The 14,638-nt window shown below is 31.0% G+C and overlaps 1 protein-coding gene across 4 annotated transcripts in view, besides 1 other annotated feature; it reads right to left on the bottom strand.

Annotated features, from left to right (window-relative positions):
• The window catches only part of KLHL1 (kelch like family member 1), a 407,856-nt gene that overhangs the window by 268,665 nt on the left and 124,553 nt on the right, over positions 1–14,638 (bottom strand). For 2 of the 4 annotated variants that reach the window (NM_020866.3, XM_017020678.3), the window contains exon 2: positions 6,359–6,541. The exons of 1 other annotated variant lie outside the window; for it this stretch is intronic. In NM_020866.3, the coding sequence (NP_065917.1) occupies positions 6,359–6,541 (183 nt within the window). Of the gene's footprint in view, positions 1–786; positions 1,681–6,358; positions 6,542–14,638 lie in introns of those variants that run through there. One more of the 4 variants, XM_017020679.2, reaches the window with a different exon arrangement.
• Positions 690–1,889: an enhancer, noted in NCBI's record as "MED14-independent group 3 enhancer chr13:70544083-70545282 (GRCh37/hg19 assembly coordinates)". NCBI's record gives its function as "activates an origin of replication core promoter dependent on BRD2, BRD4, P300/CBP and CDK7 cofactors, and independent of MED14, by STARR-seq in HCT116 cells {active_cell/tissue: HCT116}" and the evidence as "EXISTENCE:reporter gene assay evidence [ECO:0000049][PMID:35650434]".

Below are 14,638 nucleotides of genomic sequence, written 5' to 3' on the forward strand. Positions count from 1 at the left end.
AGGATGGTAACATGTTAGACATATTTAAAGTTCTCACTTTCCTATGCATTTATTCTGGGCAGTTAGTAACTAAAATGTCAACTTTTTATAATCTCAGAATTTGACAAAATGATTAAGACACAGTTATCCTCAAATATTTATTACATACCAATTAGATAAATTAGTGTCAGATGGTGAGTTTTATCAAAAGCATTAATTAAATCATTGTATGATACAAACAAACTATAATAAACTAGAGGATAAATATATTTCCTATGCATAAAAAATATATCAACATAAAGTTAACCAGCTTAATCTTATGCATAAAACGTATATAGTTGCAGCAAGGCCACATCTCCATAGAGCAAAATATCGTGTAACCTATATTATTCAATTTTAAATAATTACATAATATCTTCTTTGTCAACTATAACATACTAAATACTGCTAACTCATTAAAAAAAACTGCAGAAAAGTTTATACTGCATTTAGATTTGGTGACATAAGATATGGATTAAATTTTAGAAGAGGGATTTAATGCATAACAGACATTAATATTTTTATATGCACATATTTAGTTCTATTAATGCTAGAGAACCTGGAGTAAAACATGCATAAAGAAGTATATGCATGCAACCACACTAGAAAATCTCTTATTGAGGTCACTACAAATTTATTTCCTTCAAATCGATTAAACTTTTTAAGTTCCACTTCAATTTATTATGGTGTTTGATATTGTTAACCTCCCATTCCTTTTTTAAATCTATTTTTTAGCGAAAGCTGTGCAGACTTCTTATCCCAGCTTACCTCTGATTCATTGACTTTTCTTCCTGGGTCTAGTCTTTAACCCTCTCACTGCCATAGGTTTTGTTCAGGCCTCTACATTTTGCCTTGATGCTCACTGTTTCAGAATCATTCTTGAGCATTGCCTTAATTACTATTTTTACGGTGGTTGTAAACATAACCCTGTATCTCAAATGCCTGTAGAACTGCTCATCACATATCCCAGGACATTTCATTATAACTAAATTAAACTCAAAGCTTTCCCACTGATATTTTCTTTCATTTATACTTCTTTGTTTCTAATTGGTGCACTTCCAGAGTCGAATTTATGAACTTCCAGAGTCAAAATTATGAAAGTATCATTGTGTTTCTTTCTACTTTGTTTCCTATATCAAATATGATGTAAAATCCATCTTTCTCTTTGAATGTGTTCTTGCCTTCTTTATGAGGCCTGCCGATGTCCCAGGGGCAGTGATGTTAGTACCTAAAGCACCCAGATGCTCCTTTTTTCAGGAACTGGACTTGGCCTAACAGGAGCTCCTTATTCTGTGGAAGTCTATGTGTTCCTGCTTCTCACACTTTATCCTTCAACTGCCACCACCTCTCCTGACTCTCAACCTGTGGGTGGATCTTAAAGCACTGACTAAGAATCAGGATAAATCCTTGCTTCGGGGTGTGACTCATTCTGCAGGAAGTCATATGCAGAGCTTCCGGAGAGATAAAGAGGAAGCAAGTCTTCATTCTTGATTTGTTCCTTCCTCTGCCTGCTTCTGTTTCTTCTGAGGTCAGCCTTTAAATCCATCATGAAAACCTGAATTCCAGGCTCAGGCTCTCACATGAGGGAATCTGGCTTATGACATCATCCTTCAAAATACTGCTCAGTTCATCCTTTATGTTCATATAGTCTTCATTTCATGCCTGGATTAACCAAAACAGCTTCTCAGATCATTAGTTTCTGCTGTGCCTGTCCTTTATACATTTTCTAAAACCATACCATATTTCAAAACTACCTTTCTAAATTATGATAGTCAGTCTATTGTGGTTGTTAAAGTCATTATTTCAGTACCCAGATTGCCTGGGTTTGAGTTCTAATGTCACCAATTATTGAGTGAATAACTTGGGTACATTTTAAATTTTTTCCATGCCTCCGTTTTCTATATTATAGAGAAAAGTGAGAAATTAAGAATTTTCTGTTTCTTAAAGACAAAATGATTTGTAAATGCAAACTACTTTAAACAAGGCCTGGAACATAATCAATGCAGTGAGTGTTAACTATCATCATCATCATCATCATCATTATCATTGACTCAGTTGTTATTCCTCTCCTCAAGAACCTACATTAGCTTCTAATTAAACATACTGTTTCAAGTAAAAAACTTATCTACTGGCTCCTGAGGTCTATCATAATCATCTTTGTCCTATTTTTATGGTTTAATTTCCCAGTTATTTCCAATATAAACTCTATTTTCACCAACTCATTATCCTTGTAATTTTTGCAAACAGAAATTCTTTAGTTCTCTATTTTTTCCATAGTAGTATCTCTACTTAAAATAGTATGCCATGTCTTTTCCACTAGGCTTACCTCACACTCAATTTCTCTGAAAAACTTTCATAATACTCTATCATATACTACTCATTTCCTTATTTGACTATGTCTTGACTTGGAATTAGAACCATATATTCTACCTTGCAGTTATTTGCAACTATAATAATTTCCTTAATTATCTTATGGTTTATCTTTAATTCCTCAAGTATATTGAAAACTCTACAAGGAAAAACATTATGTTTTATAATCATTATGCATCATCAACAGGGCATAGGCCAATGCTAGAGTATGTTTGATAATTGTTTGTTTTAATTAGTGCAAAGAAAGATGCTTCATGGACTGCTGACAATCTACTATAGACATAAGCAAAACATTAAAATGATATCCAAGTGATCAAGAAAACAAAAGTTTTTCAGTTTTACTAATTATTTTTTTCTGAAGTTGCTACAGAGATATTTTAAACTATCAAACTGAGTGAGAGATTTAGGTGGATGGATGATTTAGTAAAATGAAAGAAATGTTATTCCTCTACTATTAAAGATAATCTATGTAAATAAATTTTCCATCAACATAGAGAAGCAGTACTATCTGCCTACTCTTGGGTATTTATATATGTTGTTTAGGTAAGTAATTTCTTTTTAATGTATTTAATGTGGTTTAAGTGCTACTAAATGCATCATTTCAATTGTCACTTTAGCCTCAACTGTCTACATACTAGTGCACTATAAAGAACATTAAAATAATAAATACTTTCTTGAAATAACTAAACTTATTGTCAAATATGTACAAACAGTGAAAACAGAATATAACACATTTTTAAATGCCAAGTGTTTTAGTCTGTAGAATAGGATACTTTTCTATCTATCAAATATCATCATTTTATTCTTCATTTAAGTTTTCATTTGATCATGAACATATTGCATGCTTGCTGTAAAAATTTAAATAATACATCTGTTGATACATTTCAGAAAAAAGCCACCCCTTCTTTCCTCATTATGAGCCCTATCTCACAGGAATAAGATTTGTTAAGTTTTTGGCGTATATCCTTCAACACTGTTTCGATGAACATAAAATGATAAATAACATTATTTCCAACTCAAGACTAAGTATATTAGTTACATAAGATTTCCCCATGTATGTCTGCAAAATGCTCTTACTCTTAATAATGGCTAAGGGGGAAGAAAACTTTCACAAGCTCAATCATATTTCATTTCATATCTGTACATTATATCAGACAAGGCCATGAACACCTCCTAATTTTCTTACAATTGAAAATTCAAATATCCAATTTTAATATTGATCTGTCAACCTAATTTTCCTCATCTGAATCTCAGATTAAAGGTAGCCTACCTATAAAAAATTTTTGATGTTTGAAATTCAAGGATTTACATTCAAATATTTTGGTTTACTTGTTGCTGATCAATTATCTTGGGCTATTTGTGAGAAAGTGATATTCCTCTTAGGATTTCCTTCAAGGCCTAAAGCACAAATGAGTTCAGAATTTTGATTATTTTTCATGCAGAAATATATTAATGGGTTATCTGAAATATTATTAGCCTTTCAGACCTTATCTACTTAAAAATATGCCTAACAGTAAACAGAACTATCTACATAAACATGGCCTTTCATAAAACAATTGATAATTGTGACCAATATCAAGTTAAAAACATACACCATATAACCAGCACATAAATACATGATATTATGTAGAGTCCTTCAATGAGGGCAATATGTTAACTAAAAATAAAATTTATTTGACAGTTTGGAATGATGATATAATTAATATAAATTAAACATATATAATTATGAATGAATACTGAGCAAGTGCTAATAATGTTAGCTAGCAATGCTTTTACTGAAAGAGCTATAAATCTTCATAAAAATTATTTATTTTTATATTATTTGATATTATTATAATAGCTCCACAATTTTTAGTGGTAATGATTCCAACACCACATACATTTTGCTTAAAGACAATATTTAGTTGTACTAACCAAAATATACTAAAAGTATTAAAATGTATTAGTTTATTACTAATGATTATTCATTTTAAGTCAAGAGCTAGTTTTGCGTTAATTACAACTGTTTCATCTTGCAAAAGTATCAGTAAAGTAGTATCAAATACCTGCAATGATTCACAACAATGCTTGTTCAAGCGTCACACAATATTTATTTGTATTTATTAATATTTGTTTAACTTAAAGTCCTAAGATGTACATTACTTGTAAAATAATTAGTACTAAAGTTTTAAACTATAGTGTTAAAAATTTAATTGGGAGGTCATTAGGCTGAGACATCTCCAGGTTTTTGCCAAGCAAAAACCAACTCAGAGTAATTTAACCAATCAGAAACCACCAACCAACCTCTAACTAGGCTCTTGCCCCGCTTTAACCAATCAAATATTTTCTTTGTCTTGTTTCCACAAGCGTCTTATGAAAACTTTCCCCTGGTCTTCTTTAGGTGGGTCTCTGAACAGCTTGTGGTCTCGTGCTACCCGATCATGAGTTGCTGTTTGCTCAAATAAACTCTTTAAAATAGTAATGTACTTAAGTTTATCACTTAACAGTGTAAAGAAAATATAAAATTTTATTTGAATTGAGTTAGCCGTAATGATTTTTAAAAACTAATTTTTCGTATCCTACTTAAGAAACACATCAATGATTGATAATAATGTATTTAGTTTAATATATTCTAAATATATTAAATATTTATATGTTCAGAATAATACATATAAAGGTAATACATTGCTCAGATGTTTTAGAACAATATAAACCAAGAAGAATTTTGATTTCTCATCCAATAGGAATATTGTAAACAATTTGCATAACTAAATAATTTAGAAAATAACTAATGTATATAAACAGTAATAAAGAAAACAATGTAGAATATTATGAATATAGAATAATTGCTCAACAGATTGGTTAAAAATGTTTCAAATGAAAAAGAAAATGTTGAATTAAGATGAATAAAAGACTACAAGATTGAAGAAATTATAGGAAACACCCATCTTTTTAAAAAATTAATGAGCATTTGATGTGTTAATATATTTTTGAGTTGGTTGACACCTCCTGTCTTCTTAAAAATACATACAATATTATTTAATTTATAAGTTAAATGAAGTCAATTTAATTACACTCTCAAGAATAGCTCTTACGCTGAAGAATATAATTGAATTATTAACTAGATGCTATTTAGATGCTAGCTCAGGATAATTTGTGGTTTTGCCACACATATTATGACATTGAATAATTCTCTCAATAATAATGACTGTGAATTCTCTTGCAAATGGTAACTCAATTTTGTAGTTATATTTGAAAAATAAAATCAATAATATAAAAATGCTTTCAATAGTTAGCTGACAGATTGAACTCTAAATCACCTGCAGTAGTTATGCAATGTCAAATGTCCTTCCCCATGTATTCCAAGACACTGACTTAAATTCAACGTCCATATTGTAATATTTCTATCATGGTAGAAATACAGCCATGTTTTTCTGGAATCATTTTAATGAATAAAACTATTAGCTTTCAAATGAATTATGGCTTTAAAAATAATATCAGTATGACACAATTTTAAATAAATATAAAAATGTCAATATGAAATACCTTAATTTATTAGTTGATATAAATATATAGCCAAGATTACCTTTCTTTAGTTTCTGATGGAATAGCATATTTCATTTCAGATTTTAGGCACAATTCCTGAATTAGCGTGCCTAAAATTAGTATGACTGTGAATCCCACAGTCCCAGATAATGGAATTTTTCCTCCATAGTTATCAACCCTAGTTACAAGTAGTTTTATTTTTGAACACTTTATAATTGTTTTGTTTTTCAAAAAATTATTACCTAAAGTAGCATTTCAACTTTTCCACAAAAGAAAAATAAGAAATAAAAACAAGTATAAACAAAACAAACAACAACAACAACAAAAAACTTAAAAAAATGTGAATCCTTATTTCTGTAGTCATATAATATTCTGCAATCTGCATGCCAGTCTGGCACTTTTAAACATGTGAATGCATGTTTCCAGTAGAGGCAGACTACTGTACCTATGTGCAGGTATCTTTCGGTTCCCAACAATCAGGATAACATCACAAAGTTGCTGCTGCTTCAAATAACTTTCCATCTTTCTGAAGGTTTGCTCAGCATGATGAACAGCTTGATAGAATTCTTCAGAGCTACTGGAGTCCAAATCACTTTGAGGTGTCATTGAATGGCCGGTTGATGACAGCCTATAAACCACACACACACACACACACACACAAAATAATAAAGGGATTTATAAAGAGCCAATTATCTAGAATAACATACAGGTTTTTATCATTTTCTTAAGAAAACTAATATATCTGTGTTTATTTTTATATTTTAATACAACTTCAATAAATAAAAGTCGAATAATCTATTGTGGGATAAGTGATTTGCTCTAGGGAATAATAAATAAATGGAAAAGTTCTTTAAAAGAGGTTTAAAAATATGTTGTCTGTATTGATTAGGACCTTAAGTTAGTAAACCTGAAATCTCACAGAAATAGTAAATTATTTACATGCCTATTCTAAAATTAATTAGCAATGAAATGTTAATTTCGTTCATTTGATATTGAGGAAGATAGCTTAATTATACTATTCTAAATAGAATTCTTGAGATGTCATAGTAAATGTTGCCTTGCAGAAATAGGTGATTTTTATTATGAAAAAAATATAAAACCTGGTTTTCAAGTAATACTGACAATTAAATTTGTAAGTAAATTATTGACTTTCATGTTCTGCACCCCACTATTAAACAAAAAAGTAGAATGTATTAACTCAGTACTTATAATAACTTTAATCATTAATAGATATTTTAATAAACTTTATGATTTTGGAAAGTCCATGATACTTAAGTTTTGTTACTTCATGTATTAATAATATAGACTGTTTCAAAAAAAATAACTTTAATAAGTGCTATACTCCATCATAGGGAAGACTGTTAATATTCAAGTTTCATGATAGACACATGATAAAGCCCAGCAGACCCAATCAAGTGTTCTGATGACAATTGCTTAAATAACCTAAAATTAAATATTAATTAGATTCATAAAGTTAAGACTAAAATTGCTTACTTCATGATAAATATCTTAGAAAGTAACATGGAGAATTCTGGTTCCAATTGCAAAGTAGTAATTTGCAGCTGACTAAATCCCTCTCCACGAAAACCACAAAAAAGTTACATACAATATCAAAATAATTATTTGCATTCAATAGGCTCTACTGAGGCAATCAGGACTTAGAAAGCTAAGATCCTGAAATACAGATAAATTAATTAGAGTCATCTCAAAATTATTCACTGCGTATTCTTTCCCTCTCAAGGTATTTACTAGTTATTAACAACATAGAGTGAGAGTCCAAGGAGCTCAACATAATATGGCAGCTAAGCAGATCTTCTGAGGATAATACGAAGACTGAAACCTAGAGTTGTATCAGTGAAAATCTCTGATTTCATTAAGCTGAACTTTTAATTGAAGTACCAGCAAACAATATAGTTTATATTTAGGAAAAGACATTCTTATATGGACTCTGTGATTTCTTATACACAATGCCTGGCATTAAAGGAAAAAAATAGTAGGTTTGTAAAGAAACTGGACACAATGAGAAAAACAGACAACAGAAACAGTCTCCCAGTTGCTACAGATATGTTCGAATATATGGATCACAATTATTACTTAATAGATATAAAAATAACTTTCATTGGTCTTTTAATATAGATAATAAGCTGGATAATTTCAAGTCATATGAAAAAAATCAAATGGAAACAAATAAGGCAATACAATAATTTAAGATTTTGATGTGCAAAATTAGTCGATAAAAGGCAAACAAATGACGGTATGAAAAATAAATTAATAGAAAATACTCAAACTAAGTTACTGAGATAAAAATATAGAAAACAAAAAACGGTAAAATTATAATATTCATGTAATTACTATATTCTGTAATCTTAAAAGTAGAGGGGAGAAATGATGGGACAAAAGCCATGTGAGGAAATAATGGCCAAGAATTTTCAAAAATTTGTTAGATACTTCAGGAAAGAGATTCCAGTGAAATTGGACTTAAACACGTTTTAATCGTATAGAAACACCTAATACACTGATTTGGAAAACATTATATTTTATTGAACCTCTTCCTCTTGAGATGCAGAACCACAGTTATGCAAAATAAAAAATTCGGAGAGCCTTACCAGTAAAGTGTAAACAACAACAAAAAACATTATTTTTGAATAAGAAAATACGTAATTGATATTATTTCCAGAAGATGTGTTTGTGCACATAGAAAATCCGAAAAAATTGACAGAGAAGCTTACCAAATTCTATATCCACTGATATTACCTGTGTTCTCTGTTATCTGCAATATATATATTTATCTACACAATATGTTATCTTCATCAGACTTTTCAAGTTCTCCTTTAAATATTTGAAATTAATACAAATTTTGCTGTACCATATGTTTGCCTTTCACAAGTTCGCAAATTACAACCCCAGAATATGGCCACTTCTCAGCATGTATTTTAAGAATTCGGGCTCAAGCACATATAGCAAGAACAGCAGAATTCTTCCACCTGTTAACGCATTGAATAGAAAAGTCACAATATGCATTGCAGGGTGCATTTTAAGATTTAGAATGAACATACTATTGACTCTCAGGTAGAAAGGATAATTAAGTCAGGATTTGTAGGCTGCCAAATGGACCAAAACTGCTCCAAAAGGAAACCCTGATGCTTCTTCTGCTTGGGTACGCAGACTGCATGATTAGGTTTTAAAATTCAAGATATGAGAAACACCTCTAAAGAATGGCTACAGATTAATTTAAATAGGGTTTGGGATAAAAGCTCTACATACGTCCTTATATTAATTAACCACAGGTTAAAGGAAATATTCTGGTCAGAATATTTTTTTTTTTTTTTTGAGACAAAGTCTCACTCTGTCGCCCAGGTTGGGGTGCAGTTGCACGATCTTGGCTCACTGCAACCTCTGCCCCCCGGGTTCAAGTGATTCTCCTGCCTCAGCCTCCTGAGTAGCTGGGATTACAGGCATGCACCACCATGCCCGGCTCATTTTTGTATTTTTAGTGGAGACGGGGTTTCACCATGTTTGTCAGGCTGGTCTTGAACTCCCGAACTCAGGTGATCTGCCCGCCTTGGCCCCCCAAAGTGCTGGGATTACAGGCGTGAGCCACTGTGCCTGGCCTGGGCAGAAATTTTTAATACCTGATAAAGATTTCATAATCTAGGAAAAGTTAAGATAATTATTTAATTTACTTTGTCTTTAGTTGTTGTCCAAGTTGTGGTGGGTGTACTATTAAAGAAAAGAGTGAGATAAGTAGAATAGAAAGAAATAGAAAAGAAAGAAATAGAGCTTGGTGAGACCCTGGTTTGGGGGGCTGGGGGTCATAGTATTTGAAAAGAGTTATTCAAAGTCAAAAAGTTAACTACTGTCAAGATAGTACCTTCTTTTATCTAATCTAGTTAAAATAATCTCAAATATAATACAGACTTGGACTTTTTCTGACAAATTTGAAAACAATTTGAAAGAATGGGATTAAAAAAACAGAAAATTAGATAAGAGGCTCAAAAAAAAAATAAATAAGTTCCAGTTCTCTCCTAGATTTTTTTCCTAAAAGTTCTTAGGCATTAAGTTTCTTCATATTGTATCTGAGAACACATTACTTCTCTTCAAGGTCATTAATCTTTCAGATAAATGGTTATGTTTGTTTCACTTGATTTTCTCTCACACATTTCCTCACATATCATTTCATGATCTAAGACTTTAGCAGGAATCTTTCTCCTCAACCTTATACTTAATATAGAATTTTAATATGAATTTTCACAACAGAACACTTATAATTTTTAAGATAATATTTATTATTTAACCTTCTTCCCATCACATATCCAAACTACTAATTTAAAAAGGAGACTTTAACATTTTAGCAAATTTACATTATGTATTTATCATGTTTTCTATAGGTATTAAGTAAAAACCAGGCATTGGATTACTTCATTGTTTTGTCCGATTTTGTACATCAGTTGAAAAAAACTTTACAGTTTCTTTCCAATCGAAGAGTCCCTTATACAATGATCTGAAACTCTTAACATTTGTCTTTATTTTGGCCCAACAATACAAAGCTTGAAGTTACAAGAAATGCAATTTTAAAAGTACAATATGACTTTTTATCAGATTTAAAGACATGTTTAAGTCTTCTCCAACCTAACATATATAAAAATAAAATGAATAAAATTGTTTTGATCTCTTGAACTCCTCAAACCATAGCTATACTATTCTATTTCCTTTCATACCCATGTCTTGAAAGAATTGTCTTCACATCTTAACTTCAGTTCCTGACCCTCCAAATACTCCTTAATCTATTGCAATTCGACTTCCATAACTACCCATCTAACGGAACTACTCTTGACAAGGACATCAGCGTCTTTGTTGTGGCTATCTTTAGCATTTAATTTCCTATCATTGACGGCTGAGAACTGACCAACATGCTTTACTGTTCTCGTGCTAAACAGTTCAGGACTCAATATTCTTTACTCTCTCTGTACCAAATGATTCTCAGGTGAAACCTGTTTCCCTATTTCTTTGTTAAACAACATCGGAATCCGACAAATAAGTTAGTTACTTCCTCAAGGAAATATTTACTTCTGTAAGAATAGATTGTTAACTAATAAGAAAAAATGTACAACAAATAATTACTCATGTGTTTTTTACTTTATGACCTACCTACTTAGTGCAAATCTGAAAGTGTTTTTATCTCTTCCCATTGCCAACCAGTTCCTCAGTCTTCAATGGCTTCTTGGTGGCAAATCCATATCACACATTATAAGTGCCTGTATGATCTGATGCTTTCTACAATTTGTGTGATCCTTCAAACCAAGCTCTAGTTTCAGCTACACCAAATAATTTCAGTTTCTGCAATACGTCACACCACTTTCTTCTATCGCATTCCACACACATATTTTTCTGTACCTGGAACCTGCACAACACACTGATATTCCCATGGCTGACTACTCCTTCAGAATACAGTTTAAATATCGCTACCTTCAGAAAGCCTTATTTTTTTCAGCGAATTGTTTTTTATTTTTACTTTAAAAAATAGATTCAGGGGATAGATGTGCATTTGTTACATGAGTATATTGTGTGGTGCTGAGGGGAAAGCCTTATTTCAATCCTTACTGCTTGTGGGGTGGGGTTACCCTAACATGTAGTAAATATGGTTTAAATACATCTCTGCCATATCAAACATTTTAGGAGTTCAACAACTATTTGTTGAATAAATGCATAAATATATTCTATGACAAGATGGTTTGGTCAGATACTAATTTCAGTTTGTTATGTGTTTTTGTTTACTTTTGGTTTTAGTTTCCATACACCACACAGATGTGTTGCTCAGAATAGCTACCACTAAATAAACAAGCAATAGAATTTATATCCCAAAACCTAACAGAATGCCTGGCACACAGATTTAGTAAATGTTTGTGGCATAAATTGTAATTTTTGAACATCAAATAGTTTCCAGAGCTCATGAGAAACAAACAAACAAAACATAAAATAACTGCTGTAACCAGAATACATACTTCCTTGTATTTCTCTGGCAGTACAATTGTGTACATTATGACAATACTAAAATTACACTAAATATAGTAAATAAAATACATTTAAAACCATTTAAATAAATAAGATATATTAATTGCAAACAAGAATTTCTGGATGACTAGATTCAAAATTTTTTCTTAATGTGAGTCACTAAGAGAGTAACGAAAACGGCAAAATAAATTTGAAAGCAGTTTTTTTTTCTAAGTGATAAGAGTTAGCTTTTGTTTTGAGAAAAATATTTTAAAGAAAATTTTGTAGTATCAGATAAAGAAATCACTCTTACATACATAGATCTTAGACAAAGACCTGAATGTAGTAAAAGATGACTTTATTTAAGGGAAAAAAATTTAACTATTTGTTTGAGCCCAGTAAACTTAGTGTGTATTTCAGGCAATGTATATGTCTTTAGATTATATTTGCATTAGAGTTATATGTATTTTAATTTTTAAAAAATATTTTTGAGTAGTGGGAAATTGAAAATTTGTTATTTTCTACCTTTTAAAAAATGTTCACATATTTTATATCAGGCACACATTATTTTAAACAACATATAGTCATTTTTACAAAAAAATTCAAAGTTCAAAAAGTGCCCAAAATAAAAAAAAATCTAAAAAAATTCTAACAAGAATTCTTCAAACCAAAAGAATGCAAATGTGACTGTGATTCTGAAACTGTAATTATGATAGATAAACCACATATATCTTTAAAATAAAAAGATTAAAAGAGGATACTATTAAAATAATAACTTTTTTTCAGAAATAGGCAATATAAATATGTGAATAGTGACATAAAAAGTTTTAAATGTTGGGAGAGAATAAAGCGTACTGTGTTTTTGCTTGTTTCTTTACTTTGCAATGAAAGTTAAGTTGTTATCAGTTTAAAATAACTTGTTATTATAAGGTGTATTTTGTAACCCTTATAGTAACTAAAAAGCAAAAACCTATTATAGATACATTAAAAATAAAAAGTGGCTCATGCCTGTAATCCTAGCACTTTGGGAGGCCAAGGCGGGCGGATTACCTGAGTTCAGGAGTTTGAGACCAGCCTGGGCAACACGGTGAAACCCTGTCTCTGCTAAAAATACTAAAAAATTAGCCAGGCATGGTGGTGTGCATCTGTAGTCCCAGCTGATTGGGAGACTGAGACAGGAGAATTGCTTGAACCCGAAAGGTGGAGGGTGCAGTGAGCCAAGATTGCACAACTCCACTCCAGCCTGGGCGACAGAGCAAGACTCCATCTCCAAATAATAATAATAATAATAATAATAATAATAATAATAATAATAAAATAAAAAGCAATAAATCAAAACATGTTACTAAAGAAAAATCACTTAACCTCAAAGGAAGACTGAAAGAGAGAACGAAAGTAAGAAAGAATCTACCAAACAACCAGAAAACAATAAGCAAAATGGCAGTAGTAAATTCTTCCCTGTCAATAATTACCTTAATGAAAATAAATTAAATTATTCAATTAAAAGACATGGATTAGCTGAATGGATACACTTATGCAACTAGAAACCAAAAAAGAACACTACCAACTATAATAGTTATATCAGATAAAATAGACTTTAAGACAAAAAGGAAGAAAATACAAAGAGGGTCATTATATGATGATAAAGGGGTCAATTCAGCAAGATTAAATAAAAGTTTTCATATGGGAAATCCTAGCCAGAGCATTAGGCAAGAGAAGAAAGGACATTCAAACTGAAAAGGGAAAAATTAAATTGTCCCTGTTTGCAGATGATATGATTTTATATGTAGAAAACCTTAAAGAGTCCACCTAAAATCTGTTAGAAATAATAAATTCAGTAAAGTTTCAAGATATAAAATCAAAATGTAAAAATCAGTAGTATTCTTCTACCTCAACAGCAAACTATCTGAAAAAGAAATCAATAAAGCAATCCCATTTATATCTATTTTAAAGACCCTAAATATAAAGATAGTACAGAGGGTGCAAGATTTCTACAATGAAAACTACAAAATACTGATGAAAGCAATTGAAGAGGATATTAATAAATGAAAAGTTATCCTATGTTCATTGGTTGGAATAATAATTTTTAAAAATGCTCATACCACCTACAGTGATCTGCAGATTCAATAAAATCACTATCAAAATACTAATGATATTTTTCAAATAAATGGTAAAAGCAATCTTGAAATTTGTATGAAATTTATATGGAAAAGATCCCAAATATCTAAAGCCATTTTGAGTAAAAAAGTAAACTAGCTGGAGGCATTACACTACCTGACTTTAAAATATACTGTGCTCGGTGCGGTGGTTCCCACCTGTAGTCCTACCACTTTGGGAGGTCAAAGCAGGAAGATTTCTTGAAGCCATGAGTTTGAGACCATCCTGGCAACAATGTGAGACCCTATCTTTACAAAAAAAAAAAAAAAGAAGAAGAAGAAGAGAAAAAAAAAAAAAAGCTGTGTTTGATGGTAAACTCCTGGAATCCTAGCTACTCAGGAGGCTATGACAGGAGGGTCGCTTGAGCCCAGGAGTTAAGAGTCGGCAATGACCTGTACTCACATCACTGCACTCTAGCCTTGGTGACACAGCAAGCCCCTATTTCAAAAATAAATAAATAAAAAGAGCTATACTACAACGCAATATTAACCAAAATAGCATGGCACAGGCATAAAAATAGATACATAGACCAATGGAACAGACTAGAGAACCAATAAATAAATCTATGCATTTACGG

The sequence above is a fragment of the Homo sapiens genome, chromosome 13 (assembly GCF_000001405.40).
Source record: "Homo sapiens chromosome 13, GRCh38.p14 Primary Assembly".
Classification (NCBI taxonomy): Eukaryota; Metazoa; Chordata; class Mammalia; order Primates; family Hominidae; genus Homo; species Homo sapiens.